The sequence below is a fragment of the Homo sapiens genome, chromosome X (genome assembly GCF_000001405.40).
Source record: "Homo sapiens chromosome X, GRCh38.p14 Primary Assembly".
Taxonomy (NCBI): domain Eukaryota; kingdom Metazoa; phylum Chordata; class Mammalia; order Primates; family Hominidae; genus Homo; species Homo sapiens.
Window position 1 is genome coordinate 48,454,334 of NC_000023.11, and position 19,618 is coordinate 48,473,951.

The 19,618-nt window shown below is 52.3% G+C and overlaps 1 protein-coding gene across 8 annotated transcripts, besides 1 other annotated feature; it reads right to left on the bottom strand.

Moving 5' to 3' along the window:
• Positions 4,211 to 15,927, bottom strand: SLC38A5 (solute carrier family 38 member 5). 8 transcript variants are annotated; one of them, XM_006724569.4, is made up of 17 exons: positions 15,849 to 15,927; positions 15,002 to 15,103; positions 13,539 to 13,592; positions 13,377 to 13,452; positions 12,629 to 12,744; positions 12,466 to 12,539; positions 11,897 to 11,989; positions 11,682 to 11,760; positions 8,565 to 8,647; positions 7,900 to 7,958; positions 7,674 to 7,811; positions 7,385 to 7,464; positions 6,653 to 6,753; positions 6,316 to 6,431; positions 5,399 to 5,543; positions 5,203 to 5,306; positions 4,211 to 4,431 (listed from the first exon to the last, which is right to left on the bottom strand). In XM_006724569.4, exons 3-17 carry the CDS (start codon positions 13,589 to 13,591, stop codon positions 4,270 to 4,272), a joined length of 1,479 nt encoding a protein of 492 aa, XP_006724632.1. In that variant the 5' UTR covers position 13,592; positions 15,002 to 15,103; positions 15,849 to 15,927; the 3' UTR covers positions 4,211 to 4,269. The 8 variants fall into 8 exon arrangements, with proteins under 8 accessions (XP_006724632.1, NP_277053.2, XP_005272752.3 ...); NM_033518.4 differs by having other exon boundaries at positions 4,211 to 4,701; XM_005272695.5 differs by lacking the exons at positions 15,002 to 15,103; positions 15,849 to 15,927 and adding an exon at positions 14,552 to 14,896 and having other exon boundaries at positions 4,211 to 4,701.
• Positions 12,479 to 12,598: an enhancer, noted in NCBI's record as "active region_29602". NCBI's record gives its function as "activates an Ori minimal core promoter by ATAC-STARR-seq in GM12878 lymphoblastoid cells {active_cell/tissue: GM12878}" and the evidence as "EXISTENCE:reporter gene assay evidence [ECO:0000049][PMID:35858748]".

Genomic DNA, 19,618 nt, shown 5'->3' on the forward strand with positions numbered 1-19,618 from the left:
TATTGAAATTAAGTTGGTATCAATCTGAACTAGATTGCTAAAAATTAAGATGTTATTTTTAATCCCTAGTATGGTCTGAATGTGTCCCCTCCAAAACTCAGGTGTTGTCAATGTGACAGTATTAAGAGATAGGGTCTTTAAGAAGTGACTAGGCCATGAGGGGTTCTCCCTAATGAGATTAGGTGTCCTTATAAATGAGATGGAGGGAGTTGCTTCTCTCATGTCCTTCTGCCTTCTGCCATATGAGAATGCAGCAAAAAGCGCTGACCAGATGCTGGTGCCTTGATCTTGGACTTTCCAGCCTCCAGAACTGTGAGAAAATAAATGTCTGTTCTATACAAATTACCCAGTCTGAGGTATTCTATCATAGCAGCACCAAAAGACTACTAAAATCCCCTAAGTAGGACTTGCATCCCAAGGAAGTGTAAGACTTCTGCACTGAAAACTACAAAACATTGCTGAAGGAAATTAAAGACCTAAATAAATGGAAAGATAGCCCATTTTTCATGGATCGGAAGATTTAATGAAGTACTGATACATGCTGTGGCATGCATAAACCTTGAAAATATGCTAAGTGAAAGAAGCCAGACACAAAAGACCACAGTGTATGATTCCACTTATATGAATGCCAAGAATAGGCAAATCCGTAGGGACAGAAAGTAGATTCATGGTTCCCAAAGGCTGGGCGGAGTGGGGAGTTACTATTAATGGGTATGAGGTTTCTGGTGGGGGGGGGTTGTTGTTGTTGTTGTTTGTTTTTTTTGTTTTTTTTTTTTGTTTTTGAAACAAGGTCTCACTCTGTTGCCCAGGCTGGAGTGCAATGGTCCAATCCAGCTCACTGCAGCCTTGAACTCCTTAGTTCAAGCAATTCTCCCACCCCAGCCTCCCTGAGTAGCTGAGACTGCAGGTGCACACCACCATGCCCAGCTAATTAAAAAAAAAACTTAGGGACAGGATCTCATTATGTTGCCCAGGTTGGTCTCAAATTCCTGGCCTCAAGTCATCCTCTTGCCTTGGCCTCCCAAAGTGCTGGGATTACAAGCATGAGTCATCGTGCCCAGCCAAGACTTGCAGTTTGAAGGCCAGGTGCTGGAATTTCAGGCTACCGTTATTCTCAAAAAGAATGGCTTGTTGAGCTTAAGTTTAGTGGCAGTAAGGGATAAAGAACAGTGAAACAAGGAGCATATAGTATTAATCAACTACAGACAACTGCCCTATTTGTAAATAGAAGCAGGGAAATAATATATATGTGTAGTAGCTTATAAATGCGTAAAAATTATCTGGGAGGATAAGCAAATGTCTCTCAAACATCTAAAAGCTTCCTTCAGGCTGGGTGCGGTGCTTCATGCCTATAATCTCAGCAATTTGGGAGGCCGAGATGGGTGGATCACTTGAGCCCAGGAATTCGAGACCAGCTTGGGCAACATGGTGAGACCCCGTCTCTACAAAAAAATACAAAAAAGGCCGGGCGCAGTGGCTCACACCTGTAATCCTAGCACTTTGGGAGGCTGAGGCAGGCGGATCACGAGGTCGGGAGGTGGATCACGAGGTCGGGAGATCGAGACCATCCTGACTAACATGGTGAAACCCCGTTTCTACTAAAAATACAAAAAATTAGCCAGGTGTGGTGGCACACATCTGTAGTCCCAGCTACTCGGGAGGCTGAGGCAAGAGAATCACTTGAACCCGGGGAACAGAGGTTGCACTGATCCGAGATCGTGCCATTGCACTCCAGCCTGGGAGACAAGAGCAAGACTTCATCTAAAAAATAAAATAAAATAAAATAAAATAAAATAAAATAAGCCGGGTGTGGTGGCATATGCCTGTGGTCCCAGCTACTTGGGAGGCTGAGGTAAGAGAATCACTTGAACCCGGGAAGTTGAGGTTGCAGTGAGCTGTGATCTCACTACTGTACTCCAGGCTGGATGACAGTGAAACCCTGCCAAAAAAAAAAAAAAAAAACCTTATTTCATAAATACGGCTCATGCCTGTAATCCGAGCACTTTGGGAGGCCAAGGTGGGAGGATCACTTGAGCCCAAGAGTTTGAGACCAGCCTAGGCAACATAGAGAGATCTCATTTCTACTGAAAATTTTAAAAATTATCCAGGCATAGTGGCGCATGCCTGTAGTCCCAGCTACTCAGAAGGCTGAGGCAGGAGGATAGCTTGAGCCTGGGAGGCTAAAGCTTCAGTGAGCCGTGATGGCACCACTGCACTCCAGCCTGGATGACAGAGCAAGACCCTGTCTCAAAAACAGTTAAAAATTAAAAATTAAAGAATTAGAAATACACACACACACACACACACACACACACACACACGTATGTGAAGTGTAATGGCAATACCATTTTTTCTATGAGGTTGACAAAAATCTGTTGCATTGCTCAGGCTGTTGACAAGGCTGTGGTGAAAATGGCACTCACATACTCATGCTAGCTTCTCCTTGCTCTTGCTTGGACCAGCCATGCTCGTTCCTACCTCGGGGCCCTTGCACCTGTTGCTCCCTCTGCCTGGAACACCCTTTGCCAAAATAACCATGAGGCTTGCTCCTTTCAGCCAACCTAGGACCAAATTCATTGCCCCCTCCTTAGTGAAGTCTCGCTGAATGCCTCCTCACCCACCACCTCCCCACACCACTCTCACATCGCTCATTTTCTTCATTGCACCATCTTTATGAGGAATGATTTCTCTTTTATTCTCTTTGTTAGGTCAGAGGTCAGCTAACATTTTCTGAAAAGGGCCAGAGAGTTAATAGCTCAGGCTTTGCAGGCCATATGGTCTCTGTTGCAAATCCTCAGCTCTGCACGAGAAAGCCACAAACAATATGTAAATGAAGAAGACACTGTAAATGATATGTAAATAATTTAGACACTGAAATTGATATGTAAATGATTTAGACACTGAAATTTGAATTTCACATAATTTCCAAGTGTCACAGAATATTATTTCTTTTAATAATATTTTTTCATTTTCTTTTCTTTTTTTTGAGACAGAGGCTGGAGTGCAGTGGTGAGATCTTGGCTCACTGCAACCTCTGACTCCCAAGTTCAAGCGATTCTCCTGCCTCAGCCTCCTGAGTAGCTGGGATTACAGGCGCGTGCCACCATGCCTGGCTGATTTTTGTATTTTTAGTAGAAACGGGGTTTCACCACGTTGGCCAGGCTGGTCTAGAACTCCTTACCTCAGGTGATCTGCCCGCGTCGGCCTCCCAAAGTGCTAGGATTACAGGCATGAGCCACCACACCCAGCCCCTTTTCTTTTTGAGACAGGGTCTCACTCTGTCACTCAGGCTAGAGTGCAGTGGCGTGATCATAGCTCACTGCACCCTCAATCTCCCGGGCTGAAGCGATCCTCCCACCTCAGTCTCCCAAGTAGCTGGGACTATAGGCTTGCACTATCACACCCGGCTATTTCTTTTAATATTTTTTGTAGAGATGGGGTCTTGCCGTGTTGCCCAGGCTGCTCTCAAATGATCCTCCTGCCTCAGACTCCCAAAGTGCTGGTGATTACAGGCATAAGCCACCATGCTGGATCCACCTTTTTTCAATCATTTAGAAATATGAAAGCCAGTCTTAGTTCAAGGGCCATACCAAAATAGGCAGCAGGATGGATTTGCCCACTCGTGTGTCAGAACATCAACTCCAGGGCACTATTGTCTGCTTGGTTCACTGCTATATCCCCAGCACCTAGAATAGTGCCTGGCACCCAGTAGGCTTTCAGGAGATGTTTACCGAGTGAATGAGTGAAGTCTTTTTCTGTGTGTGAGATGGAGTCTCACTCTGTCGCCCAGGCTGGAGTACAGTGGCACAATCTCGGCTCACTGCAACCTCCGCCTCCTGGGTTCAAGCGATTCTCCCGCCTTAGCCTCCCAAGTAGCTGGGACTATAGCGTGCACCACCACACCCAGTTAATTTTAGTATTTTTTAGTAGAGACGGGGTTTTGCCATGGTGGCCAGGCTGGTCTCAAACTTGTGATTTCAAGTGATCCGCCGGCCTCAACCTCCCAAAGTGCTGGGATTACAGGCGTGAGTCACTGCTCCTGGCCAAGTGGGTGAAATATTAAGTTGAGTAGCAAGTTACTGAAAGAGTGAAGTGAATGAATGCATGATCAGGCACAGTCCCACTCGCAGGGCTTCAGTTTGCTCCAGCCTGGACTCCGGCAGGCTCCCCCAGCAAGACTAAGAGAAAGATCAGAAGGCTGAGTCCAGAGTGGTAGCTCAACATCTTTATTTTTCCTCTTTAGCCCGAGGGTAATCCTGACAAACAGCTTCAGCCAGGAGGAGGCAGAGAGGACTGGGCTGGGCAAAGGCTCCACCAGGACCTGGCCTCCTCCTCCTCCTCCTCCTCCTCCTCCTCCTCCTCTTCTTCCTCCTCCTCCTCCTCCCATGGGGTTGGGGTTGGGATTAGGGCCATGATCCAAGCTTGGCATCCCTGGGGAGGAGGGAAGTGGGCCAGTCTGCAGCCTCTGCTGTCCCCCGCCTCTGACAACCACGTTCATGGGAACCAGCCACCTCCACATGTTGGGCAGGAGGGACCCTAGGGAGCGGCCCTGACCCCTCCATGTGCATGCGCACAGGGACCTGGGCCAGCAGGGCCTGATCAGTGTCCAGACATGCGGCTCTGGCCTGTGGCCCAGTTGGCAAACATAAAGCCTAGACTGACGGCCATGAAGAGGACTCCCAGGACTCCAAAGCACAGGGCCTGTGGGCCAGAGAGACAAGATGGGGCTGGTTGGGACTCCTCACCCAGTTGCCTTCTGAGAATGTTCCTCAAGTCTTCCACCTCCTTCAGAGAGTGCTCCATCCATTCCTGACCCTCCTCTGTATGCCCTCTCCTTCCTTACAGCCAGCCCCTTTCTGCGAGTCCTTCCACCTTCCCAGGACCCATGACAGAATACGTTCCTCCATCCTCCTTCTTCAAAGTGCTTCCAGCTCTCTTCCCAATAGTGCTCTTTCCATCTGTCTGGAGAATGCTCCCTCTATGCCAGCCTCTGTTTGAGTGCTCCCTGTCTTCCTGGACCCTGCTGGTGCTCTGTCTCCTCTGCCCCTTCCTAGACAATCACCTTCATTCTTCCAGACCATTCTTTCAGATGCTCTCCCAGCCCCCTCCTATGCATGTCCCTTTCACCTCCAGCCATCCTGGAGTGAGCACTCCCTCCTTGGAGTGCTCCCTCTCTCCCTAGCTCTGCCCTGGAATGCTTACCTGGATCTTGGGCCAGGATAAGAAAGGCTCCACCTCAGAGGGTACAATGCGGAGGTAGAAGATGCTGGGGAGGATGAAGATGAGGCTGGGGGCTGAGGTGGACCCTGGAGAACAAGAAGAAGGGACAGGAGTCAACCTGACTTGGGGACAAGGCCCATATTAGATGGGGTATGGGACTGGGGTGAGGTTTACTGACCGATAACTCCAAAGATATCCCGGATGGTTGGCACACAGATGACAAGGACATTGACCAAAACAAGCAGGATCAGAGCTATGGCCACATGTCGTGGCCAGCTGAAGGCCTTGCCTGGGAAAAGCAGCTGCTGCAGGGCCCGGCGGATCTGTGGCCAGAGTAGGGTGGGACAGAAGTCAGGACCCAAGTGCTGCCCCCCTTCCACGTGATCATCTGTCTTTAGCTCCACCCTCTGGCTGAGATCCCTGATTTCCCCTCCCTCTGACTATCTATGGCTCCACCCTGCCTAACCCAACATCTGTGTCTCTATGTTCTGAACAGGCTTCCTGCCTCCATCCTCTGACAATCCACGTCTCTTCCTTCTGTCTGAACACCCATCGGCACCTGCACCCACTGTCTGAAATCCTTGCCTCCTCCTCTAGCTGACCATCTTTGCCTTCTCCTTCTGTCTGACCATCCACCGATCCTTCCACCCTGTGTGAGCTCCCTGCCTCTCTCCATCTGACCTCTACCTCCCTCCTCTGTCTAATTAGTTCTGCCTCCCCATCTGGGAGACTTGACCCTCCTACATCCCATCACTTCAGCCTCCACCCTTTTTCTGTCCATCCCTGTTTCTTAATTCTACCCTCCAACTGACCCTTCCTGCCTCCCTCTTCTTTCTAGCCATCCATCTGTGCCTCCTCCCTCCAACTGACTACCCTGTCCCCTGACCCTCTCTCTCCTGCTATCTATGTCCTCCCCACTTCTGTTTATCGATTTTTGCCATCTCTGTCCATCTGAAAACGCTGCCCTTTCCTGTCTGTCCATCCTTGCCTCCTTCATCCATCCATCCACTCCTGTTTCCAGCCTTGACCCACACATCCATGCCTATGCCCTCTACCCATCCATCCATGTCCCTCTCAGCCGTGGGCCCCACGCACAGGGAACAGCACGACTGGCACAGTGAGGGTCACCGCGAGCAGCACGGCCAGGCGCACACAGAGGATGAGCGGGTCCTTCTGGCTGTACATGTGCAGCATCTCCGCCTTCACACTGCCTGGGCCATGAGACAGAGGGTACGGGATGCAGGATGTGGAGAGAGCACCAGGACCAATGCCCCAGAAACCCATACATACATGCACAGTGACAAAATCCACACAAGTGAGGCACACCTTCTGTTTGGAAACTGACAGGTCCGTGGTCACAGAAGGAAAGAGCTCAGAGGCTCCTGCCCCAGGCCTTCCCCCTCCCCCCAGCCCTAGCCCCAGCCCCACTCACTGTAGAAGGTGAGGTATCCAAAGGTTGCTGTGAGCCCATACATGCAGAACATGGCCCCAATGGACACGTTGGCCACGGCCTGCATCCTGCGCTTGGAGGGCCTGAGGTGTAGAGGTCGTGGAACTGTCATGCCCAGACCCTGAGACTTGCCCCAGGTCCCTCAAAGCCAGCCTCCACCCTCCAGAGTCCCCTTCTCCCAGACTGCCATTCAGCTGGCACACATGGGGACACCCGTCTCTGCCTCCCCTGTGACTAGCCAAAATCCCCTCTCTGACCATCCATATCTCCCCCGATATGACTGTCTCCCTCTCCCCTGCGTTTGACTGCCACTGCCTCTTCCATCTGACCATCCATGCTGTCCCTCTGTCTGATCATCCACACATCTCCCATCATATCATCCCTGCCTCCGCCTCTGTCTGTCCGTACCTCCCTATCCCCATATCACCAGCCATGCATATCACCCCCTCCATCTGATCATCTGATCTCTGCTTCCCAACTCTGTCCATCCACATTTGTGCTGGATATTAAAATAGGAGAATACTTAAGCCCCAATCAGCAAACAGTCACTACCCTGAGTGCCCCAAGACCTCCTGGCCACCCCAAACCCCTCCCATGACACAACCTAGCTTCCACCAAGTGACAGTCCCAGGACTGCTGTAGGGAGTGTCAGACATTCTGGTTACCACCCCACTTGCTGGCCCATCATTCAGGCCCACTTGCCTGCCCACTCACCGGCAGAGCTCCGTATAGATGGGCAGCACCTCAGGGTGGCAGACAAAAGCAAAAGCCATAATGGGCACTGTGTAGGACATCTAGGGGAATGCCCGAGTACATGGGATTAGAGCCAACAGGGGTCCATCCCCTTCTTCCCATCCCCCTCCCGCCCCGTAATCGCCCTCCATATCAGACACATAGAAGCTCCCAATGTCGAATATCCAGCTCCACTCTGAGCAGGATGCACCATATGACAGAACCAGAGGGCCTGAGTGTGATGCAATCTCCTACATGCCTGCACACACACCTGTGAGTCAACTGTGAACATCTGGGCCTCACAGCTGCTGTTGAGTCCTTGGCTGGGGAGTCCCACGAGAGCTTCACTCTCCATTGCTGTTTCATTGTGGCCTATAGCACAGCCAAGTTGGAACTTCTTGTAGATGACCTGAGGATGGGGGCAGCAGGGAAGCCAGGTCATGGAGGAAGCTATGTCCCAATGTCCCAAACTCTCTCCCCGCTTCTCTGTGACTCACCGAAACAAGGAAAAACAGCATGCAGGTCAGAGAGAGACCACTGGTGTACCCCAGGTAGCCTAAGAGGGGCAAAACACAGAGTCTCAGAAATCAGCCAGGCGTGGTGGCTCACACCTATAATCCTAGCGCTTTGGGAGGCCTAAGCGGGTGGATCACCTGAGGTCAGGAGTTCGAGACCAGCCTGGCCAACATGGCAAAGCCCCATCTCTACTAAAAATACAAAAATTAGCTGGGTGTGGTGGCGCATACACCTGTAATCCCAGCTACTCGGGAGGCTGAGGCAGGAGAATCGCTTGAACCGGGAGGCAGAGGTTGCAGTGAGCCAAGACCACGCCATTGCACCACTCCAGCCTGGGTGACAGAGTGAGACTCGGTCTCAAAAAAACAAAACAAAACAAAAAAATCAATGGACCCCCGGAACAGTGAACTCCAAACACCTAGTCTAGCCTTCAAGGTCTACCCACCCCAGTTACCTTTGCATAAGCTTCTACTTCCACCCAGAAAAACCTCCCCTCCATAGCAAACTCCTACTAATCTGTTCAAGCCCACATCAAATAAGCTCTCTCCTAGTGTGCTGCAGCCCTTGAAAATGAATGGGGGTTTTCTCAGTCTGGCTTCTTCTGTCTAATCCCACTACCCAATGGCCAACCCAGGGAGCCTCTTACCCAAGTGTTTCATGAGGGCGAGGGGCAGGATGATTAACACACTGACGATGATGATGAGGAGGTTTCCCTTCAAGAACCAGTCCCTAGAGAGACAGGAAGACACAGTGCCTAGCTGCCAGCCAAAGGAAACTGTCAGGCAGACACTCACAGAAGACAGCTGGACAGGCAGCTTTCTGCCCTAAGTCAGGAGAGTTAAGCTGACAACCTCAGCTTGAGAAGTCATTCAGGTGGTCACAGTGACAAACGGCACAATAGGGTTGACAAAAACAGTCAAGCTGATTATGAGATTGTCAGATACTATCAGTGGGACACAGCTAACACATACACAGCTGGACAAAACTTGCCATCAGACTTCGCAAGTGGTTGCACAACCAGAAGGTCAAACACCCCAAATCAGTCAGACTCAATGTAAAAATCAGTCCAGGCCAGGTGTGGTGGCTCACGCCTGTAATCCCAGCACTTTGGGAGGCTGAGGCGGGTGGATCACCTAAGGTCAGGAGTTTGAGACCAGCCTGGCCAACATGGTGAAACCCTGTCTCTACTAAAAATACAAAACAAATTAGCCAGGCGTGGTGGGGAGTGCCTGTAGTCCCAGCTACTCAGGAGGCTAAGGCAGGAGAATGGCATGAACCCGGGAGGTGGAGCTTGCAGTGAGCCGAGATCACGCCACTGCACTCCAGCCTGGGCGACAAAGGGAGACTCTGTCTCAAAAAAATAAATAAATAAATAAATAGCCAGGTATGGTGGCGCGTGCCTGTAATCCCAGCTACTCGCGAGGCTGAGGCAGGAGAATCACTTGAACCCAGGAGGCAGAGGTTGCAGTGAGCCAAGATCGCGCCATTGCACTCCAGCCTGGGTGACAGATCAAGACACTCAAAAAAAAAAAAAAAAAGGAAGAAAGAAAGAAAAAAAAGAAGGAAGGGAGGAAAGAAAGAGAAAGGAAGAAAGAAAGAGAGAGAAAGAAAGAAAGAAAGAAAGAAAGAAAGAAAGAAAGAAAGAAAGAAAGAAAGAAAGAGAAAGAAAGAAAGGAGAAAATCAGTGCAACACAAGGTGCCAGACACAAAGAGAGTGAGTCACGATCGTGGTATGTCTGACAGGTAGAGCAACAGTCTGATGATCCAGTAGACAAGCCACGATGCAGAGTCCATCAAAAAGTCAGAAACACACATGCATGCTTGTTTGAACAGCTCAAGGTTTGTTGGATGCCTGAAAGTATGCCTGTGGACTGATTTGGCTGCACAGCCAAAGAAAGACTGAAATAGAAACGAAATCATCCAGCTGGCCACACTGTTGGAACCAAGCTCTGAGAAAAGGTGGGATCTGTACAGATATTGGAGGAAGGTGACCAGGCAAGACAGTCAGTTAAGACAGAATCAGCTGAACAACTGCTCATGCATTCAAAACAACTTGATTGAATGCCTATGTTCTAGACATTCACATGGTCTCTTTCTATCTCATATACAGTTACACAGAAATAAACCAATGGGAGCTAACTATAATAATGAGACATCTCTGGTCACACTATCAGCTATCTAGTGTTCTCAGAATCAAACCAAAAATCTAAAAGGATACACACAGAGAGTAAAGATCAAGCACTCAGTTAAAATTGTCAGACTGGCCGGGTGTGGTGGCTCATGCCTATAATCCCAGCACTTTGGGAGGCCAAGGCAAGCAGATCACCTGAGGTCAGGAGTTCAAGACCAGCCTGGCCAACATGGCAAAACCCCGTCTCTACTAAAAATACAAAAATTAGCCGAGCATGGGGGCTGAGGCAGAAGGATGGCTTGAACCTGGGAGGTGGAGGTTGCAGTGAGCCAAGATGGCGCCACTGCACTCCAGCCTGGGCAACAGAGTAAGACTCTGTCTCAAAAAAATAAAATTAAAAAATTAACCGAGCATGGTGGTGCATGCCTGTAATCCCACCTACTCAGGAGGCTGAGGAAGGAGAATCGCTTGAACCTGGGAGGCAGAGGTTACAGTGAGCTGAGATCGTGTCACTGCACTCCAGCCTGGGCGACAGAATGAGACTCTGTCAAAAAAAAAAAAAAACTGTCACACAGACCAGAGTCAGACTGACAAAACCAGAGACACATCTACACACCATGCAAAGCCCATGGGACCAGAGGCAGAGTTAGCCCATGGGACCAGAGGCAGAGTTAGCCACTGGACACACAGAGCTGTTCATGAAACACACAGAGGCAGCTACACACGTGCAGCTGGAGCACAAGCACTGCAACACACTGTGCATACACACTAGCCCTGCTGGAGTCCCATCGTGCACATGCCCCCCACACATACCAAGCCAGCACAGCGGATCCGGACTCACACACAGTCAGCCAGATGCATAATCAGAACAGTCCAGCATATATGGTTGCAACCATAATACAGAGGACACATAGCCACATTCAGGGATCACACACACACACACACACACACACCAGAGAGAATTTGCCAGAACAGCCACCAAATCAAACACAGAGATGGAGTTGGCTGGACACGTACAGTCAGAGTGAGTCACACATAGTTGGTACCACAGCATACTACGTGCACACAGACACACTGCTGGAGTCAGCGATCACACACTCACAGCTAGACGGAGTCAGTGATCACACACTCACAGCTAGACAGATTCAGCCAGATGAACCTAGAATCAAGCTCAAACAATCAGCTGGACAGGGGAAGTCAGAGTGACCGAGGGTAAGACACATATGGTTGGAATCCCAGTATACGGGACACAGCTGTAGTCAATCACAGAGCTAGCCCAAGAGAATCAGCCAGGACAGCAGACGCAGAGTCAAACCCACAGGCAGAGTCTGAGTCCATTGGCTATGTACATTCACACACACATGGTCAGCAGCAGAGTAAACCGGACATAAAGAGTCAGCCTCCAGCCAGAAGCAGCCAGAATAAGTCACAAAATCAGCACACGGTCGACTGGACTCCTGTGGTCAGAGCAACAGGCACACAGAGGAATCAGTCTGACCCAAGTGGCCTGCCCAGCAGTCTCAAACTAGAACATCTGGAAGTCAGCTGCACACACAGCGCTGAAGATACTGACCGGGCCTCACAGGCAGAGTCAAGGGGCTGCTGGCCAGCCAAGGGGTGTTGCTCACTCACCCCTCGGGGTCCATGTACAGGAAGGTGCCGATAACCAGGGGGAGCTCAGATTTGATGATGAACAGGTAACTGGACATGGCTGGTGCAGGTGGGGGAGGTGTAAGCAGAAGGATTCTCTTCATGCCCCCACCCCGTCTTCCCCAGCCCAGCCTGGGGAAGCCCACCTCACTCCGCCCTCTCCCCCCAAGCTGACCCCCACCTCCCAGAGTCCTCACCCCCAACATTGTGCAGACAGATGACTGTGGCCACCACTACCTTCCCCGCAGGCCCGAATGCCCTCTGTCCCAGCTGCTCATAGGCTCGGATGCCTAGCGGGGGGAGTCAGGAACAGGGTTGAAGGTCCAGGAGGCCAGGCCAGAGGTGCAGGCCAGAGGGCCCAGGAGCTGGGGAGTTGGGGCTTGGGGGAACCGGCTTTGACTGATGGAGGATGAAGGTGGGGGTTAAGCAGTTGGGCTTGAGTTTGGGGGCAGAGTCTGGGAGGTGGGATCTGAGGCCAGGGAAAAGGATGAGGGCTGGAGGTAAGAGTAGGGGTCTTGGAGCCAGACTATGAACTGAGACCATGGTAGGAGCTGGGGAACCGGGGACTGAGGGGTGGGGGTTAGAGGTAGAGTGTAGTGGTCTGGGGGTGGGTTCTGGGGTGCTGGGTCCGGGATCTGGGGTCTGCATTCAGGGAGCTGGGTCTGGGGTCTGGGGTCCAAGGTCTGTGTTGAGCTCTGGATGTGGCTCCAGAGTCTGGGGTCCAAAGGGGTGGAGTGGGGACTGGGATCCAGGCTCTGGGTCTCACCTGCAATACCAGCACAGGTCAGCAGGAGGTGGATGGAGTAGGACGACAGAAGCGCAATGCACAGCAGCAGGGCCCTGCGGCAGGTGGCACAGCTCAGACCTGGCCCCAGGCCTCCCACCTGCCCCACAACACCCCTGGCCCCGCAGGCCACCTATGGACTCACAGGAAGAAGATGACCCCCGTGTGGGCCATGGCATAGGCCAGCCCCAGGATGCCGCTGCCCATGATGGCGTTGCTGAGGTTGAACACTGACATTCCAAACGATGTCTTCCCCTCGAACTGCACGCAAGGAGCAAAGCCCGGGCACACATTGGGACAGGGCACAGGGTAAGGAGACTAATGCCAGGGCCAGGGAAAGACTAGAGAAGAAGCAAGCGGGGTGGAGAGAAGCCAAGGAGAGACCATCGGAGGAGGGAAGAGGCTAGCAGGGAAGAAGAGTTGAAGATGGAAGAGGCTGCGAATGGGGAGAGCTGGGAAGGGGGAAACTAGGACAAACTTTGGAGGGAGCAGCTGGAAGTGGAGAGGACCGGGGGAGGGTGAAGCAGCCACCAGAGGTAAAACAGCTGGGGAGGGGAGACGCTGCGGGTGGGGATAGGCTGAGGATGGGGAGTGCTGGAGGAGGAAGAACAGCTGGAGGAGAAAGGCAGGCCGGGAGGGGAGCAGCCAGGGAGGGCAGTCACTGGGCCGAAGAGCGGGTGGGGAGAAACAAGGCCAGGGAGAGAGCTGGAAAGGGCATATCTGGGGAAGAGGAGTATCTGGAGAGGGGAGCGACCAAGTAGTGTGTAGCTGTGCTGGGGAGATAGCTGGGCAGGGGAACAGCAGGGAGGAGGAGGAGTGGGGAAGAGGGAGCAGTGCGGGAGGAGATTAGCTGGGGAAGGTGCCACCAGGACAGATCCTGTGGGGCCACTCACATCCATGAACTGGACCGGCTTGCTCCCAGGAGCAGGACCACGACTGGGCAGGAAGCCCTCACGTTCTTGCCTGTAGCTGGATAGGGCAGGGAAATAGGGGCCGATAAGAGGGAAATCCTGACCCCTGATCCCTGAGCCCACCTCCTTGGACCCCTGACTCACCCCACAGCATCCGAAGGGAGGGCTCCATTCATCTTTGGATCCTGCAGTTCCATCCTGTGGGCAAAGAAATGGGGTGGGGGGATCAGAGATGGAACGAGCATGCTTCAAAGTGAGGGGAGCTGAAGAAGGGGGGAGGGGAGTCCCATAGAGACCGATGGAAAGACGGAGAAAGAGACAAGGCAGGGGAGCAGGAACAGACAGGGATAGAAATGGAGGCAGACTGACAGAGAAAGAGATGAGAGAGAGAGAAGAACAAAAATCAGAGAAGGAGAGAAGCCAACAGTTAGTTACTCAGAGAGACACAGAGAGAGCCAGTGAGAGAGAAATAGTGGGGAAGAGAGAGACAGAAAGCTACAGAGAGAGCCGGACCCCAGCGCAGATGAGCCGACCACGTGGAGAAGGGATAGCCTCTCCTCCCAGACCCCAGACTCACGCTGTCTCTCTTGCCATCTGTGTCTTTCATTCCCCGGTCCCCCGCGCCACCCCCTCTCCTTCCCTCCACCCTCACCGCGTGGCCAGGCGGCTCACTCCTTGCAGGGACACGTGTCGGCCTGGCTGCCCCACCCCTCCTAATGCCCTCACCCCCCTCCTTCCCGCCTGGGCCCCCAAGCCCGAGACCAGAGCTAATGCAACCTGTTGAGTGAGCTGAGGGTTGGGGACAGACTCGGAGACCCCTGCCCCAGACGCTGCAAACTGCTCTCTGCCACGACTCTGAATATCCTCACTAGAAGCCAAAGACAAGTGCCCGAACCGAGCCCCTTCCCAGGGACAGAAATGACCCAGGGACTCCCATTTGACCCCAATTCTAGGGCCTAGAGGTCTTTTCCAGGGCCCCTAGCAAGTCTTAAACACTCATCTTCTGGCAGAAGTCAATTTGGAGACACTGCCAGACTTGAGAAACTTCCTAGGTGTGGGGTGTGGGGTGTCTCAGGAACCTGGCCCGAGCCCTCATTTCCCTCCGGAGGAAGAGCTATTTCTGAGACCTTCATCAAAGACCCCCTCCCGTGGCCTACCGAGTTTCCTGGGGTGGGGGTGTCTCTGCAATCCCCACCCGAGCCTGGAGCCCCTGTCTTGTAGGTACAGCGTCTCTGAAGAAACCCCAGCTCCCTCCCGCGCTTACTCCTTGGGAAGGAGGTATCTCAGAAACCCCCATTCAAGGTCCCCATTAGAGCTCAAACTGGCTCAGGAAATCCTTTTCCCAAGTCCTGAATCCCGTTCCTGGGACAGGGAGGGTCTCAAGGAGTCCCATCCCCCACCACCAGCACCCTCCGGAGCCTCCCACCCACACCTGAATTCACTTCCTGGGATCAGGGTACAAAAAGGACCTCCCCATACACGCCATTCCATTCCCCACTAGTGCTAAAATGTCTCCAAGGAACCCCGAGCCCCCTCCCAGGACCCCTACTCATATCTCAGGCCCCCAGGAACACCATCCCCGCAGCCCACGCTCCCTCCTCACCTACCTGCTCCTCTCAGCTCCTGAAGTGGCCGCAACTCAGACTCAGGTTCGGGCACCCTCTCGGCTGCCTAGGCTCCTGCTCTGGAGCGGTACTTTTTTTTTTTTCCTGAGAAGAAATGTTAATTTTAATTTCGTTTCCCTCCTTCTGGCCCTGGGCGGGGGAAGAGGTGGAGAAGGGGCGCCCCCTATCTGGACCCACTTGGAGGGAGACAGCGGTTTGTTTGTGTGTTGATGGTGGGGGAAATGGCCTGAAAGATTGAGGGTGTAGACCCACAGCTAGAGAGAGTGACAGGCAGACAGAGGGGATGGACTCACAGAGCAGACGGACAGCAGGATGGGATGGATGGCAGAAAAAGGTGCAGAGAGGAGACAGAGAGAGAGTAGGAGAACTGAAGTTACAAAGAAAGCAGGCATGAGAAACAGCACAGGAACAGACAGACCACAGAAGGGACAGAAAGACAGATGGGCGGGAGGAGGGGATGCTAGGGGAGCTTGGAAGACAGGCAGAGACAGGGAGAAAGGGACACACAGGCAGACTCAGAAACAAACAGGTGGGTAGGGATAGGCTCGTGGAAACACCTGCAGAAAGGCAACAGGCAATTGGGCTCAGTCATAGACAGGAGACACAGGCTGGCCAAGAGGTGGGGGACAGAGCCAGACAGCTCCCCAAACAGAGGGTAGGACCAGACACACCAGCTCAGAGAGATGAAGGGGCAGAGAGAGTGGTTGAGGCAGAGAGACTCCTGGAGGGACAGGAGAAAAGAGGCAGAGAGAGGCAGATTCAGGCAGAGAGGCCTGGGGACAGCAGGGGAACAGGTGCAGGGGTAGTAGCCAGGCTATTCCAGGCAGACCTCAGGCAGACAGCCTAGGCACGAGAGGACCCTAGATCTTGGGGGCCCCCAGAGGGAGGCAGGGAGGGCATTTGTGGCTGGGTGGGGAATGTGGACTGTGAACTCACACTGTCCGCAAACTGGGCGGGCACTGTAGTCCTGGACCCCACCCCAAGCGTGGGGTGGGGCTTGTCCAAGCCCTGAGAAGTCCCACTATCTGTCTGTCCGTCTGTCTTCTATGGGAGTCCGTCTGTTCACTCCCCTCCAGGCATATGACAGGCATGCCTGTCCCAGGCAAGCCACGTGTCCGCTACAGGATGTCAGGCAGGGTGGACTTGGGGTCTGGGACCACCTCGACTGGGCTGCTTGAAGCCCAGGTGGACAAGAGGCCTCTGTCTGGGCCCCTCGCCCGCCTGCCCACCCCCGACAGGGAACACAGAATTCCCGGAAAGGCCAGGAGCTGGCTGGGGCTTCAAAGCTGGCCTAGATGCCCTCACCCCACCCACAGTTGGAGGAGGACAAGGGATGGGGCGTTTACTTCCCCACAGCGGGAGAGAGACTCCTGCACACTCAGGAATCGCAGCTACACAACAGGACCCATCACAGCCCCATCAAGGGGCTCAGATACGGGGGCCAACTCGCCATCACTCACAGAGGTGCACAAAGACTCACAGCCACACAAGAGAATAAAGACTGACAGACATGAACACACACAGACTCACCACTGCACGTTAAGAGCAATGGCTCATGGGACAGTCACACACGTGGCCACACAGAGTGACGATAGTCTTACAGCTATCAATACCGACAGGCTCAGAGCCGCTCACAGAGAGCACAGACTAACACAGGGATAGGCTTGTGCCGATTTCCAGACACTCGAGACTCCTGAACCTCACCGCCCGTGGACCCACAGCCATGCCAAAGACAATCAACAGGCAAATCACACACACAGATTCACAGCCACACACAGAGCACACAATTACACACAGCTGATGACATTGTGTGTGGGTCCTGGGTCTTTCCCACACACACGATCCAGGTTCAGATGGCCCTGGATCTGAACCTGAATCCAGGTTCAGATGACCCTGGAGGCAAACTTCCAGGTTCAAGCCCTAAAATGATATCTCTGTGTATGTGAACTTGAATGTGCACTTGTGACCACATGTAACCACATACAGCTCCAGTCACAGAGAGAGGCACTCATAGGCTGACATGATTTTTGTACAAACAGAAAAGCCATAGTCTCCTTCTCTCTCTCTCTCCTCTCTCTCTCTCTCTCACACACACACACACACACAACTGCATTTCAGCAAATGGCTGCACACAGCCGTGTACACACACAGCTAGTCACAAATCAAGTCAGAAAAGAAACATATAGGGAAAGCATATACCTGCACACAAACACAAAGCACAGGAATGCAGAGTACGCTTACTATCGTTGCAAAGAAAAAATCCAGAAACCACACTGAAAGCTACACAAGGAAAAAACAAGAGAACCAGATAGTACTCATACCATGGCACCAGAAGAAACACCCCGAGGGCACACATACCTGCAGCCACTCGCTAAGAAGAGACACAAATACAGCAGCAGACACACAAAGAAAGATACGTGCGCATAGATACACATATAGGAGGGACAAGTACTCTGACACACTTGTCACCCACGACCATTACAAAGGAGACAAACACCCAAGCAACACACACACACAACAACATATAGATGAACTGCACCGACAGACAGTACCAATGCACACGGTTGCCAAAAAAAAAAAAAAAAAAAAGGTATGAGTTGGGCCGGGTGCAGTGGTTCATGCCTGTAATCCCAGCACTTTGGGAGGCCAAGGTGAGTGAATCATGAGGTCAGTAGTTCGAGACCAGCCTGGCCAACGTGGCGAAACCCCGTCTCTACTAAAAATACAAAAAAAATTAGCTGGGCGTGGTGGCGGGTTCCTGTAATCCCAGCTACTCGGGAGGCTGAGGCAAGAGAATTGCTTGAACCTGGAAGGCGGAGGTTGCAGTGAGCCAAGATCGCGCCACTGCACTCCGGCCCAAGCGACAGAGTGAGACTCCATCTCAAAAAAAAAAAAAAAAAAAAGCACAAGTTTGGCAGGCGGCCATAGACAGAACGCAGCACCAGGCAAGTTACATAGGAAGACGCAGGCACAGCTCACATACGTGTGGCTGTGGCTGAGAACGGGCAGGTGAGATACACTCAGCATATTCACACACACGTGCGCACACACTCCTGCCCAACCTCCTCCAGCCTCTGTCTCCTTTCCTATCTACTCTGATTTCTCTCTCCCCTCATACCCCTCCCCCACCCAGAGCCATTACACATCTGTGCTACCAGCTGGCCAGGGAAAGAGACACCTGTCACTAGAGGCTTTGACCCAGATGGCTAAAGGTCGGGGGGTGGGGGGGATGCAGGTATCCATATTTCAAGTCTGAAGTGTCCCGTCCAAATAACTAGCATACTTTATTTGGATTTAAAAAAAAAAAAAAAAGACAACCCCCCTCCCCTCTGCATCCATTCGCCGCCTCCCTGCCACAGCCTCCTGCTCTGATTGCTCCCCTTCCCTCCCAGGGCCTGCCTCTACTGGCCTTCCAACATGGACCAACACAGGGCTACCAGGCACACAGCAGGCGCTCAACAAAGGCCACTTATCTAATGTCGTATTATTATCATTACTTTTATTTCTGCCAAAGGAACTCTTCTACGGGAGAGATGAACCTCCATCCAGCTCTGAGAACCCGACAGCTCTGCTAAGTTTCAGGGCACTGCAGATAGCAGGTGCTCAACATAAGCCGGTATGGCAGCGGGAAAACAAAGGGAATGTGTGATCTGGCTGCTTAGAGGAATTTGCTTTAGAAGGAACAGATGTCTTTAAGCAGGACCGAGGCCTTGAGGCTGTGCCAGGGATAAGAACACTTTGTTAGTTCATCAAAGTAGGGCTCCTTCTCAGGGTCATTTAAGGTTTCTGTTGGTTCAGTAAACCAGACCCTTGTGTGACACATGGGAGTCCCGTGAAATCTGTTAAAAGTCACTTTGGGTTATCATCAGTTCTAAGGAGACATTTGATGAAAACAGCTCACTTCCCGGTAGCATCCAGGGGAGGGAGGGACACAGTGAAGCAGTTAACAGCAAAAGCTTTCTCAGCTCTGCCACTTATTAGCTGTGTGGCTAAACAAGCAAATTCCTAAACCTCACTGAGTCTCAGCTTCCTCAAGGGCCTAATAACGCCTAACTCATTGGGCTATCGAGACAATTGAATTAATTAACACAGGCAGAGCACTTAAGACAATGCTTTACACATAGTTATTGCTCAATACATATTTGTGGGAGGAATTAATGATTTCTTCTCTGCGAAAGCAAAGTCCCACTTGCTGGGCTGCATATGGGATTCCAATCTGTCCTTTCATGCAGGCTCCCCACGGAGTAACTCTTTCCAGTCACTTCCTTTCCTCAAAGCAGCCCCTGGGCAGCAAAGTCCTAGTCCCCTGCCCCTGGGCCACCCCCCTCGTTCCCTCACACTGCTAAGATGCCCCCACCGGGAAAGAGCTGGCCTGGCAGCTCCCCCTTCCTTGACCCCTCCAGGAGGCCAAGGGAAGGACACCTTTACACTCAGTGGGGTGCCGGGTGGGAGCTGCAGGCCGACACCCTACTTCGGGAAGAGCCTGGAGAGTTCAGAGCCTGGCTCCTGTCCCCCAAACCCCCGGTCCTGCTGGAGGAAGCAAGTTTCTTTGCTAAAAGTTAAACATCCTCTTCGTGAGCGACAAGAAAACAGGACGTG

Excerpts from the sequence above, each read along its gene's own strand:
- SLC38A5 (XM_005272694.4), bottom strand. The coding sequence starts at position 14,691 with ATGGGGGTTTCTGAGATACCTCCTTCCCAAGGAGTAAGCGCGGGAGGG. Across the intron at positions 12,745-13,376 it reads AGCCGGTCCAGTTCATGGAT|TTCGAGGGGAAGACATCGTT; the intron begins GTGAGTGGCCCC and ends CCTTGCGTGCAG. Across the intron at positions 11,761-11,896 it reads CTGTCTGCACAATGTTGGGG|CCATGTCCAGTTACCTGTTC; the intron begins GTGAGGACTCTG and ends CACCTGCACCAG.